We start from the raw sequence: 22,345 nt of genomic DNA, 5'->3' as shown, positions 1-22,345 counted from the left end.
CGCGCAGCACCGGTTCCCGCTGGCGCCTCTCCCTCCACACCTCCCTGCAAGCTGAGGGAGCCGGCTCTGGCCTTGGCCAGCCCAGGAAGGGACTCCCACAGTACAGCAGTGGGCTGAAGGGCTCCTCAAGTGCCCCCATAGTGGAAGCCCAGGCAGAGGAGGCGCCAAGAGCGAGTGAGGGCTGTGAGGACTGCCAGCACGCTGTCACCTCTCAGCATTGCCCAAGGAGAGTGGGCTATGCGGGAGGAAAGAGAGAACTAGAAAGGATTATCTTGATTATTTATAGAAAAGGTAAGGAAATTGTCATCTTTGAAGTGGAATCTCAAATACTTTGAAGCTAACTAGATAAGGTTGTTGTCCCGTTAGAAAACATATTAGGATGAAATGAATGGCATACAGTGAAAAATAATGCAGAGATTTAAAGTAGCTTAAAGATTGAAAAGGTCAGTGGAGATCTTGGAGGACAACATTAATTTGTGTTTTGGGATGCAAACAGACAACAGTCAGTTGAAGGGTGAAAGAAAGAAATAAAATACACATAGCAAACAAGCATAGACAACTCAAGAAGCTTGAGTGGGGAGAAAAAGAGTTAAGGGTCAAGGAGAGAAAGAAAAGGAGAAAGAGAAGAGGAAGAAAGGAGGGAGGAAGAGAAAGAGAATGAGAAAGAGAGACTGAATGAAACAGATGTGATATGATACACAAGTAAAGAAAATATCATTGTACCAGAGGCAAAAGGAGACCATTTCCATTATAAGACCTGAGAGAATCAATGATGGGTGTCATTGTTTTTGGTGTCTAAGAGAAAAATAAAGAAATCAATCTAGAATGACACTATTTTATGTAAATCAGAAATGGCTTAATGGCTTATTTTTTTTAAGTAGGAGGAAAAACAATTACTACAGGCACAAGTAGAAAAGTTAATATGATTTGGAATCTATCTCTGCCTAAAAGTAGATCTTGCGCTATTTTCTTGGTTTAGCTTTTTAAAAATCCATGCTCTTAACCAGTACCCTCAGATAACTTTATTTATATTAAGTCATTTAACCTGATAAGTACTGTGTTTAGTAGCTAAACAGTATATTGTTAGTTTTTTAGTTTACAGATGAAGAAACTGAAACATGATAGGTTAAGTGAGTTGTCAAGGTCACACATTTACTAAATAATAAAGCTATAATTTGAACTTCTTCCAAAGAAGATGGGCATGAACCACAGCTTAACTTAAAATACCTCTTTAATGGCTTTATTTAAACAAAATCATCATAAAAGATACTTTCCGTCTTCTAAAATTTTCCATAGATACACAAGAAAATATATTACGAGAAGTGATATATTTGTAAAACAACAAAATGGAAATATGAATGATGATGCTAGAAGTGTTTCAGAAAGGAACTAACTTCAGAGAATGAGAGCATGTCTTAAGCTAGTTATCTAAAGAGTGTCTGACTATAAGATTTAACTTAAATTCCCTCTGAATTATGGAAATAGCGGAATAAAACTGGACTTAAAGCTGAATCTTGTTTGCCTCAGATCAAAACTTTTCTTTCTAGTTGAAAGTGTAGATGTAAAACGTGAGACAGTTTCAGAGGTTCTGAGAAATCACAGGTAAATGGGCTATTTAACTCAAAATTGAATTCAGTTCTTGGAAAAATAGAACTGAATTCACTTGCCAGCGGAACAAACTGTCTTGTAGACCATGTCATTCCAAAATCAATTCTAAAGCTTTTTTTAAATCTGAACATGTAAAGGTTCTTATCATTTTGTTTTGTTTCATCTTGTTTTTACTATCTATTCTATTCATTAATATCACTTCATGTATTATAGGAAAAGTCACTATTAATTATAAAATCCAAATTTATCCACTACATAAAATACAGTCCTTAGGATTAATCTAACACACAACACAGGATAATGGATTTTTGAAGAGACTTTCTGAAATTTCTGTGAACTTTATAGCAATCAGTAGTATAATTGTACCAGATGATAACTTCTATATTAGGAACTCAGTTACAGATGCACCAGAGACAAGAAACTATTATTAAGTGCCTGACATATGACTCAGAGAATGGGCTTAGGTAAATATGAAAGAGAAACACTTCTATAACGTTGAATAATATTTTAAAAATTCAGAAGCTTCTCGTTCAATTATTTGTGCTCTAACTCTTATTTGTTGAAGTTTTCTCTAGTGTGATGCTCCTGCATATTATTTCTATTGTTAACTGGTAGCTTGGGTAGCTGTCATTTATAGCGGAGTGAAATGATAAAATTACATACTAAATGCAAGTACCATTTGAGTATAACAACTCTAATTGGAAAGATGAAGAGTGACTTCCCTGCAGCTGTGAAAATTACTTGGTATAATGTAAAAGGTGAATAAAAGCTTTAAAGTCTCCTGGAAAACAAAGGTCAAGTTGTGTCTTTAGTAAATCTTAGACACCTTGCTGAGTACCTGGAACTCAGTGGTTGTACACCAATTTAGGTTTACTGAAGGAAGAAAGCATAGCTGACAGGTATTTGTAACCTATTGTGTAATAGGAATAAGGGAGACATTTTATGTTCTTAAAATATATAATTGTGGCCTTCTAGTTTCAGCTCTGACATTTAAAGAGCTTGGAAGTCATGACTTCTATCTTTAAAACAAGATGAATTGGAAAAACTTAAAATCAATTAATTTTCTTTGACCAACAGAGAACTGAATTTGCAAGGCAAACTTTTAATCCAATATCTGGGGTGATAGATAACTCCAGAGAGTCATGGCCAACATCTACTTACCTGGAACAGGAGCTTCTACAGCAATAAACTGGTAAAAAAAATAAAAATAAAATGTATCAAAATTTGTATGGTGTAGGAAAAACAATGCTTAGGAAAAATTTATTGAAGTAAATTAATATATTAGAAAATATGGTAGATCTACAATCAATAACCCAAGTCTCTAAGAAACTAGAAAATAAAGACTGAGTTAGGCAGTCAGAAAGTAGAATAAAATTAAAATTAATATTAGAGAAATATCAAGAATATTGAAATACAAAACAAATAAAATGAAACCAAAATCTTGTTCTTTAAAACAAAGGATAAATGCTTGAGGGGATGGATACCCCATTCTCCATAATGTGATGATTACATAATGCATGTATGTATCAAAACATCTCATGTATCTCATAAATATATATATCAACTATGTACTCACAAAAATCAAAATTAAAATTAAAAAAAAATTTAAAGCTTTTTCTCTAAGAAGATTGATATGATTCAAAAACCTCTATCCAGACTAATCAAGAAAAAAAGAGAGATGACCCAAATTACAACATCAGAGTGAGTGGGGTCCATCACTACCAACTGTCGGGCAGTAAAATTTAAATAAAAAATACAACAAACATCTCAAAGGCACCAATTTTCTGCCTTAGGTAAAATGAAACAATTTCTTAAAAGACTACCAAAAATGAAAAATGGAGAAATAATGCTTGAATATTTCAAAATATATTAAACAAATTAAATAATTACAAATTTTCTAAAAGAGAGAGCACTAGACATATGGTTTTACTAGAGAATTTTAACAAACATTTAAAGAAAAATAATACCAATTTTTACAAAATCTCCCAGAAAGTAGAGGCAGAGGGAAGTTCTAATCTTTACATAATTTAATAGAATATCTCCAGAATCTGTTTGTAGAAAACTACAAAATATGGTGAAAAAAATCAACAAATAATTAAATAAATGGAGAAATATTCCATGTTCACGGATTGAAAGATTTAATATTATTAAAATGTCACTTCTTTCCAGCTTGGTCTGTGCATTTCATGCAATCGTAATCAAAATCCCAGCAAACTATTATTGATGTTAATAAAAAGGTTCTAAAATTTATATAGAAAGGCAAAATGCCTAGAATAGCTATGCAATATTGCTGAAAAATATAAGAGCACTCACACTACTCAATTTCTACATTAATTACAGTTATAAGAATCAAAACAGGATATTATTGACAAAAGAATAGAAACATAGGTAAATTGGACAAAATTGATTTCCAGCAATAAACCAATAAAATACAATCAATTAATTTTTGACAATGATTGAAAGCCAATTTAATTAAGAAAGAATAGACTATAACAAATGTTTCTGGAACAATGGGATATCCATGTGCAAAAAGGAAAAATAAATACCTGTGCAAAGACCCAACACATTTTATATTCTTAATAATTGTCTCAAAATGGCTCATAGACCTAAATGTAAAATGTAAAACTATAATACTTATAAAATAAAACATAAGGGAAAATCTATATGACCTTGGTTTTGGTGACAAGTTTTTCAATGCAACACCAAAAGAACAATCCTGAGAGAAAAAAAAAGAAAAAAAATTGATAAGTTGGACTTTGTTGAAATTAATAACTATGTTTCCCTGAAATGCACTGTAAAGAGAAAGGAAAACCTAGCATCAGGAGGCTCCAATTAAAGCAAGTGTTGGAGGATCCAATTAAAGCAACAAGTTAAAAATAAAGGAGTTAAGCCTTTATTCACATACTGTGATGGCATAAGCAGGAGTCTAAAACCAAAGGAAGCCCCAACTCTCTGTCTCATCCCTCCCATGGAAGGGCACACAGGTGGAGGGGTTTCTGTTGCACAGAGAGGTGGATCATTTCCCTGTTGAGGAAGCCGCAAACAATAGAGTCAGGCAGCTTTATAGACCCTGGTGTCAGGGGCAGGATGAGGAGGAAGAGCTGGGAGTGACAAATTACTGGGTGCTGAGTCAAAGTGGGAAAAAAAGCATATCTTGAAGTTTTCCCACCTTTTTCTCCTCCAGGAGGTCTCAGCAGAGATACTTGAAGAAGATCTCTCTGTCCTAGACCTCAGATAAAGAGATCTAGGAATGAAGGCACTAGGAATTTAAATACCGTAAGAGCCTGACCAGTCAAGAGGCCCTGAGTTCTCAACTGCAACTCCCTTCAGAGACTGTAATGAACTGTCTGTGTACCCAGTCTGGTCTGTGGGAGTGCAGTTTATTCCCATGAGTCCTGCCAGGTAAAGCCTTTGTAGTTGCCTGTGGTCAGGTCTAAAAAATCACATATAGGTTTTGAACCAGGAGTTAATCTCCTCAACCAGACACAGTCATTTTTTTTTTCAAAATGACTTGTATCTAAAATACACAAAGAACACCTAAAACTAAACAATAAAAAATACACAAAGAACACCTAAAACTAAACAAATGACACAATTACAAAATAGGCAAAAGATCTAAATAGACACCTCAGGTAAGAGGATACACAGATGAAAAGATGATCAACATTATTTGCTATTTGAAATGCAAATTCAATCTGTAAGGTATAACATCACACCTATTAGAATAGCTAAAGTAAAAATAAATAAATTAAACAATATCAACTGCTGTAGATTCAGAACAACTAGTGCTCCGTTTGTTGCTGGTGGGGATGTAAACTGCTACATTCACTTTTGGAAATGGTTTGACAGTTTATTTCAAAGCTGAACATAGGCTTATTTTACAATCAGGCCATTGTGATCCTAGTTACTTAACCAGTGATTTGAAAAATTGTCCCCACACAAATCTTTATGTAGATATTAACAACAGCTTTATACATCATCACAATAAACTGGAAACAACCAATATATTCTTAAATATGGAACAGAAAAATATATTGTATAATATTATTCAGCAATAAATAGATATAACCCATCAAGCTATTCCAAGTCATGATGAATCTTAAATGAATATTGCTAAATGAAGAAAGGCATTCTGTAAAGACTATCTAATACATGATTGCAATTTATCGGCAAAACTGTAGAAACTATAAAGAAAGCAGTGTTTGTCAAGGGTTTGGGCAGAGGTTGAATTCATGAAGCACATGCATTTTCTTAGGGCATTGAAATTATTCTGTATAACATCATAATGGTGGATTCATACTACTTTGCAGTTGTCAAAACCTATTGCACTTGCAGCACAGGACATGAAAGCTGATATATGCAAATTATTAAGAAATAGGAAGTCAAGGAATCCCAGGATGAAATGTTGAGTGTGATAAAAGAATCTAACTGTATTTACCAATGTATGAAGCAACCTACCTGAAGGCAATGCACAAATGGTGCTGACCTAAGTAACTTTGGAGAAGGGTGGATTCTGTTAAGACTGAAGGCAATGTAATCTTTACATAAACTCTGCACTGTACAAGTTCATATCTTGTCCCGACAGGGCATATGTTAACAATCCTGTACATGTACATTTGAGTTGAATAATTGAGTAAATTGTATACTTGGTACATCCACTTTGGAAAATGGTTTTACAGTTTCTTTCAAAGCTGAACAGAGTCTTCTTATACAATGCAGGTTTCTCACTTTTACAGTGGAAGGTAACAAACCAGCAAGATGAGACTACTAGAATGATATATGTGGTATTCAATTAGAGTTGGAGAAATCGGTATCAATTCGTGTTTCATCTTATGTAAATTTAGATAGATGATAGATAATGTGTAGTGTATACATGAGTTAGTGTTTGCGTATGTATTTCCTTACTTTGTCAGTTAACAGAGCCTAGAAACATTGACTTTCTTGTAACAATAGCACACCTAGCACCCAGATTTTTGTTTAACATTTATTTTAGGTTTGGGAATACATGGGAAGGTTTGCTGTATAGGTAAATTCCATGTCACGGGGGTTTGGTGTACAAATTATTTTGTCACCCAGTAATAAGCATAGTGCCCAATAGGTAGTTTTTCGATCCTCATCCTCCTCTCGCTCTTCACCCTCAAGCAGGCCTCTGTGTCTGTTGTTCCCTTCTTTGTGTCCATGTGTACTCAGTATTTAAGCTCCGACTTAAAACTGAAAACACTTTAAAGAAATTGAGAACACAACTAAATCTTGATTTCTGATGTTATTCTCCAATACAAGGTACAAGTGCTCCATGGAGAAAATGGTGATTCAGCGCCTGAGCCATGAAATATACAAGATGAGCCTGGAGAATCCTGCAGTTCTAGAAAGTAAGAAAGTATTTAAAAAAATCAAAACAAAAACCGAACCGAAACAAAAACCTTCACACAATAATGGTGGTATATCAAAGGCACATAGAAACAAAGGGAAAGGGTTCCCAATGATAAAAACTATCGCAATTTGAGTAGCAAAATGAATAATGTCATAATAGATTATTTCCCAAAGTGTAAAATTAATGGTGTAAAATATGTTTATAGTATTGTAAATAAATAATTGAGTAAATAAATATAAGTGGAGAAAATAAATATCTCATCAAGAAAAATACCAGTCACGTTAGGTAGAAACTCATATTCAGGTGGTGGTTGTAATGCCTTCCCTTTAAAGTGGGCTGCACACAGTGACTTTCTTCCAAAGAGTACAATATAAAAAGATGGGAAAATAATAACTTTCCAGTGAAGAAAACTAAGAAACACTATCTCAACAGCTGATAGATCAACAGCATCAGCGATCAATCATGTTGACAGTATATATCTGATATGATGGAATGAAAATGTCATTTTACCTCCATGATCTTCCTTAAAAAAAAATACGTAAAAAGTCAGTTTAAACATGAGAAGGTATCCATAAAGGGTATTCTCCAAATACATGACTGGTCGTCCTCAAAACTGTCAAAGTTATCAAAAACAAGAATGTCTAAAAAAGTGTTGTGGCCAATCCTAAAGAGAAAAATAACTAAATATAATATGGCATTCTAGGTGAGATCCTGGAAAATACAAATGACATTAGATAAAAACTAAGGAAATATGAATATAGTATGGACTTTCATTAATAATAATGTATCAATATTGGTTTATTAATTATAACAAATCATATTAATTTAAAATGCTAATAATAAGGAAACTGGGTGTTGAGCATATGAGAGCTCTCTGCAGTATCTCTGCCAATTTTCTGTGAATTAAAAAAAACATTTTAAACTTAAAAACATAGTAAATGTTTTAAAAATGGTCTGAGAAACCCAGTGTGGTAGGTACAACACTTATTTTAAAAGAAAAGTCTAAATTTCATCAATATTAACAGTAACTCAATTTGCCCCAAGAGTAAAACATAGCATTAGAAATTTTATTTAATATTTCTGATTACAATTTTTTTATTTGTGTTTTTAAAAAATGAAATAGGGTTTTGAAACATTATCCAAGCTCAAGCCTACCCCAGCCTGCTCCAAAATATATCATGGAAATTGTAATTGAAGTTTTTATGGGGTGGTAACTTTCCTCCAAAAGGAAGCATAAAGTTACATCTTGTGTTTTTTCAGGGTGCTCCTTGACATCCTATGAAAGAATGTCCTTGAAGAAAGATGCTAAAATGTTCAACGATTTTTTTAAAGCAGAAAGTCTGAAGTAGCTGCGGTGAGTGACAGCTGAACACAAATTTCTGACTACTAGAAGAGGAGTCATGTTAACAGTACATAAATATTCACAGAGATGGTATCTTTAAATATAACTTGCAAATAATCTCACAGTAAAAATGTATTTTTATATTACCCAGTGGAATTAAAGTGAACTTTTCTTCTTTCCATTTTCTTTGATGAATTTTAACAAAGTTGCTCCCAATTTCAGCATGTGCACATTGGTTTATGTTTTCAAAGAAAAATGTTGTTAGTTTCAATTGGCTTTATATTGATGTTTACCAGGTGATTAAATTTCTGATATATTTTTAAATCATAAAATATTTTATTTATCCTTTACATCTTAACATAAATACTTCTGAATCCAGTGACATTGGTTAAATAGTAATATATAAAAAATCCACTAAATTATAACACTGTATGTGGAATATTGTACATCAATGGTATAGTAAGCATGAAATATTATCAATAGTTTTACTCTATTACTTTCCTCATTAATACAACACGTCTGAAACAACTGATACCTCTACATTTTGTTTTTAAAATTACAAGTCAAAGCCCGGGCACAGAGGCTCTCGCCTATAATCCCAGCACTTTGGGAGGCCGAGTTGGGTGGATCATGAGGTCAGGAGTTCGAGACCAGCCTGGCCAATATGGTGAAACCCCGTCTCCACTAAAAATACAAAAATTAGCTGGGCATTGTGGCACGCGCCTGTAGTCCCATCTACTCAGGAGGCTGAGGCAGAAGAGTTACTTGACCCAGGAGGCGGAGGTTGCAGTGAGCCGAGATCACGCCACTGCACTCCAGCCTGGGTGACAGAGCTAGACTCTGTCTCAAAAAAAAAAAAAAAAAATTACAAGTCAAAAAGTGATTTTTTTTTTCAGGGCAAGGTAGAATAACAGGGATGGGATATGGGATATACTCTACTGCTTGAAAGAGTCAAATATTCTGGAAAAATAATAAAAGAATAAACCTTTAGTTTTCAGACTTTAGATATTAAGAATTGCAAGAGAGATTTCCTGAAAAAGAGGAAAGAAATGGTCTTATGATCCCCCAGCATACTAACTGCAATGTGGTTTGACGCTGCAGTACAGGAAGATAAAATAAAGTTGGAGCCTAGGAATCTTCCTAGTTCAGGAGGCACAAAGAGTTTGCAGGAAAACACACTAGAAGAAAGAGGGAGAGAGAGAGATCCAGATGTCTCTGTCAAGATTTTACTTGAAGACTAAGCAGCATATGAGTGTATATATAAAAAAAAAGCCAGAGAAAGCACCACCCAAAAAAAGCAGAAAAAATAATCCCCAATGCTAATAAAAATGGGATAATATTTTCTATTCTTATTTGGAAGGATATTGACTCAGTAGTGGCAAAAATAAATTAGCAACAGATTGTTAGGTTATTGGGTCCTGTGTACAAAGACTAGAATAAGCCTTAGAGGAAACAAACTATTTCCAAGAAATTTATCTGTGTCTTAGAACAAAGCTCAATAACATTTTTGTGAATACACAAATATATGGGAGCTAGCAGGATAAAGGTAAAAAATTCACAGTATATAAACTCTAGTCAAAATTAATCAGGCATTCAGAAAGCATAGAAATCTGATCACTAATTGGGAGAATAATAAACCAAATCACACATAGAAATAATATGATAGACTCAGTAGACAAAGACATTGAAATTATTTTTGTCAATCAAATTTATATATTCAACGAGGTATATAAAAATTGATGGTATTAATAAATATAGAAAATATAAAAAAGTTCAAATTTAACTTCCAGACATAAAAAAGAAAGCTCTGAAAAACACAATCTATGAAATAAAAGATTAGAAACTGCAGAAAACCAAGCAAAACATAAAACTATATTAATTAACTTAAAGTCCAACAATAGAAACTATATAAGTAAAATATGGATTAAAAAGGGTCTTAAAAGTAGTAAATAGCTTATGTGAATTATGGGATATGTTTAAGTGATCAAATACATGCACAATTTGGGTCTAGAAGGATAATAAGAGAGGCAGAAAAATATTTGAGAAAAAATGATGGGAATGTTTCCATGTTTTATTAAAAAACATCAACCAACAGAGCCAAGAAGTTCAGCAAAGCCCAAGTACTAGAAATATGAAGAAAACTACATCAAGTCATATAAAAGTTAAGTTCCTTAAAGCCAATGATAAATAGAAAATGTTAATAAAGATAAGAATTATCAACAAAATAAAAAATAGAAAAACAATAAATCGAATCAATGAATCAAAAGTTGTTTTTTTAAGAAAATCAAGTGTTAATATAACCTGACAAAGTGAATCAGAAAAGTGAAAGTATTCTAACCTTTGAGAATTAGTATGTCATCATATTTAACAAACTCACAGAAGGGAAATACTATGATAATTTCAATAAATGCAGAAAAAAACATTTGATAAATCCAAAAATTCATCCCTGATAAATACTGTCATCAATCTAGGAATCATTTGGAAGTTCCTCAATCTAAAAAAGGGCATTTCAGAGAAACCTCTTGCTGACATCATAGTTTATCGTAAACTATACATTTCCCCTTTAATGGTAGCAGAAAGTCAAGGTCATCTGCTCTTACAACTTCTATTCATCGTTATAATGGAAGCTCTAGTCTGTGTAATAAATGCAAGAAAAATACAAAAGGCATTCAGATTACAGAGGAAGAAGTAAAACTATCACAATGATGTTATCATACATGTAAAATCCTATAATTTACATAAAGACCTAGAACTAATTAATTTGGTCACAAGATACAAAACCCATAAAATTCCATTGTACTTTTATATTCAAAAACAATAATCAGAATTAAAATAAAATATCATTTTCTATAATATACAAGTATAATTTTATTAGTGCTTAAACCATGAAAAATGTGAAAGACCTATATATTAAAAACTACAAAAATTTAACTGACACAAATACAAGAGACAAAAATCAATGGAGAGATGAACTGTGTTTATGAATCCAAGGACTCAATATTAGGAAAATTTTAATACTCCTGAAATTGATCAACAAAATTTTAACAGAAACTCATTTGAAATTATAGTAGGCTTGTTTGAAAACATTCATAGGTTAATTTGAATGAAAATGTTAAAGAGTTAGAATAGCCAAAACAATTAAAAGTAAAAATAAATTTGAACTGTATATCCTATCTGACCTCAAGACTTACCATGAAGCTACAGTGTATTCAAGACAGTATGGCATTGGTGTGAAGACAGTTCAATGGACCAGAATGGACTGTACATAAATAGTCTCATATATTTCACTGATTTTTATCAAAGGTACAAAGGAATTCAATGGACATAAGATAATGCTTCTTCACAGGAACAGGTGGATAACCATTTGTCAACAAAAATAAACTTCCATCCATACCTCACATCATATATAAAGTTAACTCAAAATGACAATTGTCCCAAAATATAAAAATGAAAATTCTTAAATTACTAGAAGGAGAGGAGAAATTCTTTATGAATGCGTTCCAAGCAAATATTTCTTATAGATGGCATCAAAATTATGATTCATGAAAAAGAAAAGTTAAAAATTTTGACTTTATCAAAATTAGCAATTTTTTTCTTCTATTAAGACTTTTCAGGGAATGAAAATACAATACACAGTCTTGGAGAATATATTTAAAATTTCATGACTGATACAAGACATGTATCTATAATATATAAAAAAGTTTTCAAAATCCAATTATAAGAAACAGGCTGGGCACAGTGGCTTACACCTGTAATCCCAGGACTTTAGGAGGCCAATGCGGGTGGATCACTTGAGGGCAGGAGTTTGAGACCAGCGTGGCCAACATGGTGAAACCCACCCTGTCTCTATTAAAAATACAAAAAAAAAAAAAAAAAAATAGCTGGGCATGGTGGTGCATGCCTGTAATCCCAGCTACCGGAGAGGCTGAGGCACAAGAATTGCTTGAACCTGGGAGATGGAGGTTGCAGTGAGCCGGGATCGCACCACTGCACTCCAGTGTGGGTGACAGAGTGAGACTCCATCTCAACGAAAAAAAAAAAATTATAAGAAAGAAACAATACTTTTTTTTAAAAAGGGTAAAAATTGCTAAAGACACTTCACAAACTAAAATGCACAAAGGATAAAATAGCACATGAAAACATGGTTAAACATCATTAGTAACTAAGGAACTGGAAACGAAAGCACATTGAGATACTACTACACATCCTGTAGAATATCTGAAGTTAGAGAGAACAAGGCCAAGTGCTGGAGAACTGGAACTCTCACTCTCTGATGCTGGACATGTAATATGACACAAATACTTTGAAGAATAGCATGGCGGTTTCTTTTTCTGTTTCCTTTTTTTTTTTTCAGCTACAGCTAAAAATATATTTTTTTCTTTCAGTTTTTATTTTAGGTTCAGTGGGTACATGTGCAGGTTTGTTACATGGATGAATTGCGTCACTGAGGTTTGGAGTACAAATGTTTGTGTCACCCAGTAGTGAGCATAGTAACCAACAGGTAATTTTTCAACCCTTGTCCTCTTCCCACGCTCCCCCTTCTGGAAGTCCCCAGTGACCAGTGTCTATTGTTTCCATTTTTATGTCTATGTGTAAACTAAACTCAATGTTTAGCTCCCACTTATAAGTGAGAACATGTAGTATTTGGTTTTCTGTTCCTCTGTTAATTTGCTTAGGATAATGGCCTTTAGCTGCATCCATGTTGCTGCAAAGACATGACTTTGTTCATTTTTATGGCTGCATAGTATCCTATGGTGGATGTGTACCATGTTTTCTTTATCCAGTCTAACACTGATATACATCTAGGTAGATTCCATGTCTTCCCTATTGTCAATAGTGCTGTAATGAACATTCAAGTGCACATGTCTTTTTGAAAAAACAATTTATTTTCCTTTGGGTATATACCCAGCAATGGGGTTGCTGGGTTGAACAGTAGTTCTGTTTTTTTAGTTATTTGAGAAATCTCAAAACTGCTTTCCACAGTGGCCGAACTAATTTACATTCCCACTGACAGTGTGAAAGCATTTCCTTTTCTCTGAAACCTCACCAACACCTGTAATTTTTTATTTTTTTAACAATAGCCATTTTGACTGATATGAGATGGTATCCCATTGTAGTTTTGATTTGCATTTCTCTAATAATTAGTGATATTGAGAATTTTTTCATGTTTGTTGGCTGCATGTAGGTATTCTTTTGAGAAATGTCTGTTTATGTCCTTTGCCCATTGTTTTAAATGAGATTTTCATTTTTTGCTTTTTGAATTATTTAGGTTTTATAAAAGCTAAACACACTTATAGCCCAGCCACTCTTTTTTTTAGTATTTATGCAAAAGAAATAAAAGCATATGTCCTTACAAATACTTGTACATGAATGTTCAAAACAACTTTATTTCTCAGGCCCCAAACTGGAAACAACCTAATGTCTATTGTCATGAAGGTGAATATAGTCATATAATAAAATAAGACTCAGCCATAAAAATATACTATTGATAGATAAAACATATAGGAATCTCAAACTATGCTAGTTGAAAGAAGTCAGACAAAAAGTGCATAGTGTATGGTGACATTTATATAAAATCTCAGACACAACAAACCAATCATAGTGACAAAAAGCATAGGTGCAGTTTCCTAGAATTGAAGGTGGTAAAGAGGGCAAGAAGGGGTGGGATTAAGGAATTATAAAATAGTTTGAGGAAATTTTTCGGGGTAATCTATATGTTAATTTTCCTTAATGTGGTGACAACTATATGTAAATGTGCAGATATATTCAAATGTATCCGTGGTAGACAGAATTCTAAAGTGACCTCCAAAATTCGCAGTCCGTGGTGTATATACCTTCTCTCAGTTAGTCTATCAATCATGAATGTAGGTGTTGCTAGAAAGGATTTTAAAGATGGAATTAAGGTACCAAATCAGGTTATCTGCAGAGTATTCAGGTGGGCCTCACCTATTCATACAGGCCCTTTAAATCTGAGCATGAACTTCAGTGCTAAAGAAGTCAGACACTGAAAGTGCATGAAAGATTTGACATAATATAGATATGTTTAAGGCAATTAGGATATTCATCATTGCTGGTAGGCATGCAAATTGTACAAAGTAACTAGGGAGTTGGGAGCATCAATATTGTTTTACATTAAACAAAAGTTTATTTTAATCTATGTGAATGAAATAATTAAAAATATAGTGTGTAGTGTGTGTGTATACATGGAAAAGCTTTTGCCTACATTTGCATTATTTATTACACTGAATACTCTAAATAATCTTAAATGCAAATCATAATGGGTTGTTAATACCATGGAGCATTAAAATATGTGTTGTCAAAATTAATTGACTATAACAGGAAATTTACTAGATTGAATTTTAGTGCAAAAAATTAATGTGAATTATAAAGAAAATACATTCCAGGCTTGTTATGTATTTTACTCACAAACTTATAGATACATAATTATCACATCAATAAAGATACAAATCACAAGAAACAAATATTTAACATCTTAGTATTTATAGGTCAATGTTTCTTAAAGGTCAGCATTGTTTTGTATTTTATCATTTCTGTATATTTGATTTTTTTCTTTAGATAATGAATATCACTTTGGAATAAAACAGCAAATGAAATGTAAGTTACCCCAGGGTTCTAATCTCTCAGGTCATCTCTCCAATGACTTTACATCACAGCAATAGTCCTAACTCTCTATATTCTTCACCCTCTTTAATGAATCCTCATTTATTTTTAGCCATTATGGCCTTCTTGCTTTTAGTTCAAAATCTGTGTAATGCATAAGATTCCCTCTTGGCCTCCATTTTTTTTTTTTTTTTTGCTTATTATATTCTTTTTCCATGTACATACATGTATCACGTTTTCTCACTTTCTTTAGGTCTCTGCTCAAATGTCACCTTATAAATGGTTTTCTCCTAGGCCTCATTAAAATAGCAGCTCCCTACTTGGCATGCCCTATTCCCCTCACCTTCATTTTCTTTTGCTTATACCATTTATTATGCCCTTTTAAAAATCATTTATTTAGTTAGACTAAGTCTACTAAAGGAAGGAATTTATCTGTTTTAATTTCTCTAATGTTTCCAACACCTAGGCAGTGCTAGGCATATTTTGAGTTCTTGATAAATATCTATTGAAATTGCATGGAGAAAGGAAAATAATGAAGATCATATATTTATGTATGTTTTCTTCCTAAAACTGAATGCCTTAATAATCAATATTCATTTTCAGATAGTTTTGAAATACTTCCATGATAAACGTGTCATATATATATGAATAAATAAGCAGCTGAGAGTATATAGTATTCAAACAGAATCTTGATATCGGAACAGTCTCCCTAAGCTGACTTAAGGGCACCATTTGTCCAGAAGGCAGAACAAGCTACCTTGATCTGCTAGATGTGCAAGGGAGTTTTCAAATTACAGGCTATTCAAACTTGCTAGGTTCAAATGTCAAGTATGAAGAAGAAAAAGTATAACCTATGAATTTGCTTAGAGTTGCAGATTGTACCATCAGTTTATGTGGCCTCTAAGGGAGAAGATTTCATTTAAGATACAAAGTCCGAAGAACAAATCACTCCAACAGGATTCAGCCTCGTCGTTTCCTGTGGAAAAAGAAAGAAAGAAAGAAAAAAGTTTGCCTACCTATTTTGTGTTTTTCCTATTTAAACAGAGTTTCATGAGAACAGAAAAGTAGTCTTAGAGATTTTGCCAAAATTGCAGCAATTACCTTTGAAGACTTGGCAATGCTTAGTGGACAAGAATCTGAAAGGTAGCTAAAAAGGTGCATTCTAAGCGATAGTACTTATATTGGTATAAGCACTTTGTAGAATTTTGTGTTCATATACATATGCACATATACATATATACAAGCCTCTATAGTCTCTTTCTGCATATATACATATAAAATCCTTATCAACCCCATGATACAGAAATGTAGCGTGTTGGTACACTCAGTTTGTCAACTGAGAAAACACTGTCTCAATAAGGTTTAGCAATTTACCACATGGTACATTTGGAAAAAAGACAAAGCAGACAGAGCTATTTAGGTTCTTGGTGAATTTCCCCTTTCCCTAAACCCACAGGCTTCTATAACATCAATTACTAATTTTGAGCCAAATCAGTTGGCAAAAGGAATTTTGTAAATGAGTTAATGAAAAGGGAGATTATTTAGATGGACCTGACCAAGTCACATGAACTTTCACATAAGGTTCTACAGGTCAGAGACAGAGGAAAAAATCGTAACTCAAAATACAGAAAGTATTCAACTTCTCTTTGAAGATTTAGGGGTCCATGTAACAGAAAACAGTGGGCCCAACCCAAAGGGGCTCAAAGTGGATTCTTCTCCAGAGCCTCTATACCTTGAGTGAAACTCCTTTAGCAGAGAATCCAGTAAAATCAAACCTGGAGTTGTAACATATAGAAATGTAAGATCATAAATGGATGTTGTTTAAGTTACTAAGTTTTTGGTATTTTTATATAGTAATATAAAATTAATTCAAGTAGGACTATAATTTTCAAATTCTCAAACTTCATGATACAGGTAGAAGGGATCATGTTCCTCCATAACTCAAAGTGTTAGTGTGAAGTATCTGGCACAGTCCTCTCCAATAAGAATAAAATATGAATCACAAATGTAATTTTAATCTCCTAAAAAACAAAATTAATAAGTGAAAATAAACAGGTATAATTAATCATAATATATCTTAATATATCAAAAATATTATCATCTCAAAATGGGATAAATACAAGATACCAGTATTATTCATTGTCTGTCTGTTTCTTGTATTGTCTTCAAAATCCAATGTGTATACTGCACCTTCCGCACTTCACTATTTCCACTGGCTACATTTCAAGTGTTCAATAGTTTCAAGAGATTAGTTGCTACACTACTGGGTATTGCAGTTCTGGGACTTAGTAGTTTTTTTATATACTATAGTTTCCTTTTCTCCCTGCCCTACTTCCCCTCCGATTAACACAGTGCATAATATGAAAAGACCATCTTACTCATGACAAAAATATGTTTTGACTTTTATAAACATAAATTAAGATAATGAGAAAGCGTGTTACAATAGTAGTACATAGAAATAGAAATAGGGATCTATATGAAAAGTTTGATTGTTTACATCAGGCAGCAGTCAAAATAAGAAGAAAAAAAGAGTTTGAGTTTTTTACAATTTTTTTATACTCTAGTAGACATTTTTCAATATATAAAAAGTATTGCATAAGTTGATTAATGTTAATGATAAGATAGTATATTACTTGGTAGTATTCATGTACTTAGTTTATAAATGATATAGTTGGTAAGAAAGGACTCATAACTCATGGAATGATAGAGTGGAGACATTTGCATATTACATTGGTTTTTCTTACTGAATCTGACAAGTTTGAAAAGAGGAATTAAAGAAAAATATTACTGCCAGTAAATTATGATAATTAATAAATTGTCATACGATAGAATGATAGCTAGGAATGCTGTGTTACCACAAAGGGTTGAATTGCCTAGGCACACACACACATCACAGATATTCCCCAGCATTAAACTTTCCTAAAGACTCAAAAATACAGAAAGCACAAGCTATAGAGGAGCTATTTTATAGAACTCTTTCAATCCATCAGATGCAACATCTGACAAAACATTCCTTTTTGTTCTCTGCATTTGAACACATGTTGGTTTAGGTTTAATAGAATGTATTATAGTAATCACTTTGGTTTTTGAAGTATCTTGTATAAAACAGATGTTACATGTATGTAGTTTTAAACACTCTGAACAAATTCTAAAAACTCAAGAGCAGTGCATTAATATGCTTAGGACTCCTGAGAAGATAGTGATAGAGGATCTGGGTCTAGGTAATCTACCAACAAAACAGTTGATTAAGTGGAGCCATTTTGGTTTAGGTATTCTTTCATTTTACATACTGTTAATTACTAAATAGAACACATTCATGTGGCTACCTTCTGTTCTTCAAACAGCCATGCCCCTTGAATACATCAGTTCTAGTTTATTTATGGTAATCAACTTAATCTGTGCAGAAAGATCCTATTAAATTATCTTATAGATAGAAACCCTTCTTTGTATTAGTAAATGCCAGTAATATGTTTATTTAAAAATTATTTGAAGACGATTGTGTGATTGTATTGTTGACACACCTATTCAGCTAGTCATCCCTTAACAAGTCTGCATTGAGCTATTTATTAACCCATCACCGTTCTTAAGTCTTCCTTTTTCAGATTTTATAGTCCATTTTTTTATTAGTTAATATATTTTTGTGTAGCTTTAAATATATGTGTATAAATTGTAGACCAACTGAACAAAAATATTCTGCACCATTAAAATGAAGGTTAACGATCTGGAAACTATGATTATATATATAGTTCATTTTTAGAAAATACTGTGCAAGCCTAGGTAACATGCACTTACAGATATGCCCTCATTAGATACTCACAGGAACAATATAAGATAAGCGTTTTTATCCCTAATTCACAGATGCGGAAAATGAGCCTCAGAGTTATTGAATAATTTATCCGTAGTGTCAAAAACAGTGACTGGCAAAACTGTAATTTAAACTGATTTATGTCAGACTCTGCTATTACTTACATTTTATGTGTGTATTGAGGGTGCAGAGAGAAAGTAGATTAGAGTAAGAGAGTTGAGAGAGAAAAAGTGTAATTAATGAGCAAAAATTAATGAGCTAGCGAGCTACAAACTGCTTGAAATATCAGCTGTATTATTTTGTAATCAAACTGCATACAACTATTAATTTCTGTAAAACATGTGTTTTGTTCACTTTGGAAAAATATAAATTAAAATGATGCTATCCATTTACTTACTCAATTGATGTTAATATGTGTATAATTACAGAATTGTATAAGAAGACTCAGGTGGCAGAAATGAGTGGAGGCCTTAATGATAAGAGAGAAAACCAATCTGGCTCAGGGTAATCTTTTGCTTATTTATATGATCAAAATAAGATGTTTCAAAATGGAAACAGCCAGAGTCTATATTCTTTTCTTACGACATGCTTAAAATGTAGAAAGTACAAGATTTTGGCTTAAAAATGCCTAGTTGATTAAATTTTATAACCTTGAAATAGGATTTTATAAGATTTTGCAGTGAATACTGCAAAAAAATGGGTTTGCATGCTGCATAAGATCTTATCTATTGGTTTATTTCACAGATTCTGTGTAATCAAATATCTGACATCTAGTTGTTATCCTGAATATGTGCTAAATTTAATCTATAAAAAGGGACAGGGAGGAAGGAATATCAAATCATCTAGTCATTTTACCATGAAAATAAGTAATATATACATGTTATTGACTAAAGGGTACTTATTACTTACACCCTAAAAAATTGCTTGAGCATGTAACTGAATAGTGCCCATGGACCCATCTTACTTATTTTGAAATACAGCAAATATACAGATGTATTACTCATGTAGAGGTATTTATATCAAAAGTAAAAAACAATTAAATTTCTCACAACTTATAAGAGCAGCAATCTCCATAGGAACCAGTGTCAAAATAGGAAAAACTTAAGGGTTCTTGACAAATTGCTGGAGGCTCATTATGGAAGAGTCTGAAAGATTAAAAACTCCTGTGCTACAGTCTTTGGGACCCCCCCCCCCATTTGTTTCTGAGTTTTGCCTTCAGGAGCTCTGCCAGGTTCTCATAATGAATATCAGAGAAAATTACCCTCAAGCTTTCAGCAGTGGGTGGGTAAAGGAACCATTTTGAAATTTTCCAGAACAGTCTTTTCTTTACAAGATTTACCTACAGGAGAAACCAGTTAAAGAAAGCCTAAACTGCTGGGGTTTTATCTGAGCCTACATGACCTTGGGGAAGGGAAACACAGAACTCCAGCCCCTCCTTTCTTTACGTGGAAAATGCCGAAACCCAGCTCACTCTAGCCATTGTGTCCCACCTAAAGGGGTGGGAAAACAAAGCAAAAAAAAAAGTTGAGAAGCAGATTCGAAGTTCACAACTCAGGCACAGGCTCACGAAAAGACTAGAGCTACTAACAGGATTAAAGAAAACCCCCTTTCTCCTAGTACACCATATCGTCGCATTACTAAAGGCCTATTTACAATTCCTTTTAACCAGCCCATTTCCAACTATCAAGAAAACAATTTACAATACATAACAAAAGACAAAATAATAATAATTCCAAGAGACAGGGCAAGCATCAGAACCAGACTCAGACATAGCAGGCATGCTGGAATTAACAGAGAGAAAGAGGAAATTGAACCATAAGAAATGCTCTATTAAACCACAAAAGACAGAAAAAGAGTGAAAAATAAAAATAGAAGCAAAAAATAATGGCAGCAATTAGAAAACTGAAACAAATATAGTAGATATTAATCCAGCTTTGTCAGGAGAGAATCAGAAAACAAAGCCCAACTATGTGTTGCCTACAGAAAACGCACTTTCTTATAGGCACTTATAGATTCAAACTAAATAAATCGAGAAAGATATATCATGTTGATACCAATAAAAAGAAACCAGAATTAGCACTATATTAATTTCAGACACAGCAAATTTCAGAGTAAGGAAAGTTGTCAGGAATAAAAAGGAGCATGATGTAATAATGAAGGACTCATTCGATGAGACATAACAATATTTAATGTGTATGTGCCTGACAACAGAGTATAAAAATATGTGAGGCAAAACCCATAGAAATATGAGGAGAAATAAATGCATACAGTATCATAATTGACTTCAACACTCCAACAGAAATGGACAGATCCAGTAGGCAGAAAATCTGTAAGTGCATAGCTAAAATTAACCATACCATCAATCAAATAGATATAATGGACATCTACTGACTACTTCATCCAACAACAGCAGAATACATATTTTTCTCAAGCTCACATGAAACATTCAACAAAATAGACTGTATTTTGGGCCTTCAGAATCACCTTAAACACATTTTAAACATAAAAATTACATAATGTCTGGTGTCTGACCACAATGGACTTGAACTAGAAATCAATAACAGAAAAATAGCTGAGAAATTACAAAATATTTGGAGATTTAACAACATACCTCAAAATAACACATGGGTTGGAGAAAGAGTAGAAATTTTAAAAATATTGTGAGCTAAATCAACATAAAAGCACTAGTTCTCAAGATGTGTGAGATTCAGTGAAGGCAGTGTTTAGAGTAAAATGTATAGCATTAACATTAGAATACAAGAAGAACTCAAGCAATTATCTAAGCTTCCACCTTAGGAAGATAAAGGTAAAGCAAATTAAATCTCAAGAAAGAATAAAAGAAGTCAATCTGAAAAGGGTACATATTGTATTATTCCAGCTAGATGACATTTCAGAAAAGGAAAAATTATGAAGATAGTAAAAATATCAATAGTTGCAGGGGTTGGTCCAGAGAGATTGATGAATAGGCAGAGGATAGCGTTATTTTCAGTGCCCTGAAAGTAACCTGTGTGATACTATAATGATGGATACATGTCATTATTAATTGTCCAGCCCGGGAATGCAAAGCATCAAGAGTGAAGACTTGTATGAACTGTGGATTTGGGGTGATAATGATGTCTCAGTGTAGGTTCACCAATTGTTACACATGCACCACTTCAGTAAGGGACGTTGATAATAGGGGAGAATATGCATGTGTGGAGGCAGAAGGTTCATAGGATGTCTCGGTACCTTCCCATCCGTTTTGATGTAAACTTAAAACTGTTTTTTTAAAAAAATAACCTCTCTTAGGCCGGGAGCGGTGGCACATGCCTGTAATCTCAGAACTCTGGGAGATCAAGGCCAGCAGATCACTTGAGGTCAGGAGATCAAGAACAGCCTAGCCAACATGGTGAAACTCCGTCTTTACTAAAAATACAAAAAAATCAGCTGGGTGTGGTGGCGCACACCTGTAACCCCAGCTACTTGGAAGGCCAAGGCAGGAGAATCACTTAAACCTGGGAGGCAGAGGTTGCAGTGAGCTGAGATCGCACCACTGCACTCTAGCCCGGGCAACAGAGCAAGACTCAGTCTCAAAACATAAATAAATAAATAAATAAAT

At 33.3% G+C, this 22,345-nt stretch overlaps 1 long non-coding RNA gene across 1 annotated transcript; it reads left to right on the top strand.

The window, feature by feature from the left end:
* The first annotated feature begins 27 nt into the window (after positions 1-27).
* On the top strand, positions 28-20,468 carry LOC105375710 (uncharacterized). The gene is made up of 6 exons (XR_928545.3): positions 28-291; positions 6,889-6,977; positions 8,240-8,333; positions 12,707-12,822; positions 14,898-14,936; positions 15,810-20,468. It is a non-coding gene; the product is annotated as an uncharacterized LOC105375710 (long non-coding RNA).
* Positions 20,469-22,345: the final 1,877 nt, after the last annotated feature.

Source organism: Homo sapiens, chromosome 8 (assembly GCF_000001405.40).
Source record: "Homo sapiens chromosome 8, GRCh38.p14 Primary Assembly".
NCBI classification, from domain to species: domain Eukaryota; kingdom Metazoa; phylum Chordata; class Mammalia; order Primates; family Hominidae; genus Homo; species Homo sapiens.
Note: the sequence above shows the minus strand (reverse complement) of the source record. Positions and strands in the feature narration are given on the sequence as shown.